The sequence below is a fragment of the Homo sapiens genome, chromosome 1, assembly GCF_000001405.40.
Source record: "Homo sapiens chromosome 1, GRCh38.p14 Primary Assembly".
Taxonomy (NCBI): Eukaryota; Metazoa; Chordata; class Mammalia; order Primates; family Hominidae; genus Homo; species Homo sapiens.
The window spans coordinates 67538721-67542076 of NC_000001.11; the positions used below are offsets into that span (position 1 = coordinate 67538721).

Sequence of the window (3356 nt, forward strand, 5' to 3'; positions counted from 1 at the left end):
TGAGGCAGGCGAATAGCTTGAACCTGGGAGATGGAGGTTTCAGTGAGCCGAGATTGCACCACTGCACTCAAGTCTGGGTGACAGAGCGAGACTCCATCTCAAAAAAAAAAAAAAAAAAAGAATTCTGTTATTTAGGAAAACACGGTGATGGATTTTACATTTTTGAGGAGGTATGGCCTATATGCTTAGGCTTGGATAAGTGAGAACAAGTGAGAGAGACAGAGAGAAAGAGAGAGAGAGCGAGAGAGAGAGGAATTGCTCTATACGGTAAGGAACTAGAGCTTTCCTTGCTGCCAGAACAGTGGGGATGGGGAGATGTGAGGAAGGTCTAGCTTCAGAGTAGTATTCTCTAGAATTACTTGGGAGTTTTCACATGCATGCCCAGCTGGCCCCACTTTCATAGATTCAGACTAAAATGATTTGAGATGAGTACTGGGAATTGTTTTTTTTGGCAGCATCTCGCTCTTGTTGCCCAGGCTGGAGTGCAATAGCATGATATTGGCTCACCACAACCTCCACCTCCCGGGTTCAAGAGATTCTCCTGCCTCAGCCTCCTGACTAGCTAGGATTACAGGCATGTGCCACCATGCCCAGCTAATCTTGTATTTTTAGTAGAGACGGGTTTTCTCCATGTTGGTCAGGCTGGTCTCGAACTCCCGACGCAGGTGATCCACTCGCCTCGGCCTCCCAAAGTGCTGGGATTACAGGCGTGAGCCACTGCGCCTGACCTGGGAATTGGTCTTTTTAAAAGCTTCTAGGAGATTGTAACTGGTGAGACGGAGGAGGTGGAGGGAGGTCACAGGTGCTTAAGAAGATAAAGCTGGCTGGTAAGAACCTTCCTATGGTGGAGGTGGCCTATGCAAGTTGGGGCCGCCACGGTCAGTGTTTAACTGTAAGTGGTTTTCTGTCTGTGCTGTGGCCTTCTTTGGCTCTCTCAAGCCTGCAGTGTGAGCTGGCCATCCCAGCACTCGGACGTTACTGGTGTTTTGGGGAATGGAGGAAGTGAGTTGCTGCCCAGAAAGGAAGATGCAGAGGACAGACTTCAGGGGCCGACTGCAGCAGCAGAGCTGAGAGCAGCGAGGGACAGAGGATCAGGGCCACAGAGCTCAGAGCCGGGAGAGCACCACCTCGCCTTAACCCCAGAACCACACCAAATCTTCAGGGATACTGGGCTTCCCGCTGTTGGTGGCATGGCTGTTTCAGCTTTTCCATTTGAATATTGAATGAAAGGATCATGCCTAAGGGCTTGAGGAACTGGGGACATTCAGAACCAACAGTGGTTTCATCATGTGTTTTATGATCTGGTTCCTGCCCACCTATCCTACCCACTCCACACCTATGGCCTCACCCTCACCTCTATCCTGGGCTGCTTGAAATAGCTATTCACCCTTAAAGACTCAGCCCAAGGTTTACCCGCTCTGAGAAACCTTTTCTTCCCCTCCCCTGTCTTTCACCCCGCTGGATGATTTCCTCCTGCTGCTCCGATGGATCACTGGCAGGCCTCCCAGCATGCCGCCGTTCTGGGTTGAATTGTGTCCCCCCAAAAGATAAGCTGGAATCCTAACCCCTGGTGCCTTATGTGACCTTATCTGGAGATAAGGTCTTTATAAATGTTATCAAGTTAACATGAGGTCATGAGGGTGAGCTCTAATCCCATAGGACTGGTGTCCTTATACAAAGGGAGAAATCTGGGCACAGAGACAGACATGCACAGGGAGCAGGCCATGTGAAGATTAGAGTTGAGGTTTCCACAAGCCAAGGAACTACCAGAAGTAGGGGAGAGGCCTGGAGCAGATCCCTCTCCGGCTCCGCCAGAGGGGAGGAGTAGAGTACACCAAGAGAATAATTAACAGGGGAACCTGGCTAATTCCAGAAAGCTTTTCCAGGAAAGTGATGTTTGAGCTGAGCAGAGACGAATGGCCCTGCTGACACCTTGGTCTTGAACTTCTAGCCCGCAGAATGGTGAGATAGTAAAATTCTGTTTTTCTAAGCCATTCAGTCTGTGGTACTCTGTTATGGCAGGCCTAGCAAATTTATACAGCCTCTGACATGTCAGTGACTTCATGTTTTTAGGTCTGTTACCCCAACTAAGCTATAAACCCCTCAAAAGCAGAGACTGTCTTACTCACTTTTGCACTTCATCTAACACTGCCTAAATGTTTGTTGAATGAATCAGTGATTACAGTTCATCCCCAGTTTCCTGAATCTACTCTCAGAAACAGCACATGGTGGTAGAAAATGCCTGGTGCTTAGTTGGCAGCTGTTACCAGCTCTGCTGCCATCTGTCCATGACTGTCATCAATAACCACAGCAATGACAATGACCCCAGTTTCAGCTAGCATTCAGTGGGCATCAAACTATATGAGAATGCATTTATTCAGTCAGTCACTCGAAAACCATTGAGTGGTGCTTGCTTTGGCAGCACATATACTAAAATTGGAGTGATACAGAGAACATTAGCATGGCCCTTGCACAAGGATGACATGCAAATTCGTGAAGTGTTTTATATTTTTAAGACTTGTGCACAAATACCACAAGCAGCTTTATTTGAAATCGCAAAAACCTGGAAACAACCCAAATGTCTAATAACAGGTTAGTGGATAAACAAGTTGTGGTATACTGGTATATCCGTACAGTGGAATAATTCTTAGCAATGGAAAGGAATGAATTGTCCATATAGGCATCAACGTAGATGAACTCAAAATAATTATAAATGAAATAAGCTAGGTAAAAAATGAGTACATATTATATGATTCCATTTATATAAAATTCTAGAAAATGCAAGCTAATATATAATGACAGGAGCAAATCAATCATACCCTAGAAATGGGGAGAAGCAGAGGAATAGGAGAAAGAGATTACCAAGGGGCATAAGGAAACTCATGGGGGCGGTGGGTATATTCAATATCTTGATTCTGGTGATGGTTTCAAATTGTACACTTTAAATATGTTCAGTTTATTATATATCAATTATCTTCAACAAAGCTATTATAAAATAAAATAAAAAAAAGTCCATTGAGTGACTTGTATGGGTCAGGTTCTGTGCTAAGAACTGAGGATAGAATGCTAACTAAGACCAGCCTGGTCCCAGCCTTCATGGAGTTTATAAACTAACAGGAGAGACGGATCAAGTAGTTGTATAATTACAATGGTGGCAAATACTAAAAGGAGAAGTAGAGTACAACAAGAGAATAATTAATGGGGAACCTGGCTACCCCAGAAAGCTTCTCAGAAAACGTGATGTTTGAGCTGAGCAGAGAGGGATTTGTGGAAATAAGTGAGGCAAAAAGGTAAGTGAGCATGTTCCCAGTAGAGGACACAGCATGTGTGAAACCTGTTCATTCAACAATTATCTA

The 3356-nt window shown here is 45.2% G+C and overlaps 1 pseudogene, besides 1 other annotated feature; it reads left to right on the forward strand.

Annotated features, from left to right (window-relative positions):
• Window positions 615-797: a silencer, noted in NCBI's record as "fragment chr1:68005018-68005200 (GRCh37/hg19 assembly coordinates)". NCBI's record gives its function as "represses an EF-1alpha promoter that drives an FKBP-Casp9 reporter gene in an ReSE screen in K562 erythroleukemia cells {active_cell/tissue: K562}" and the evidence as "EXISTENCE:reporter gene assay evidence [ECO:0000049][PMID:32094911]".
• On the forward strand, window positions 2407-2513 carry RNU6-1031P (RNA, U6 small nuclear 1031, pseudogene; annotated as a pseudogene).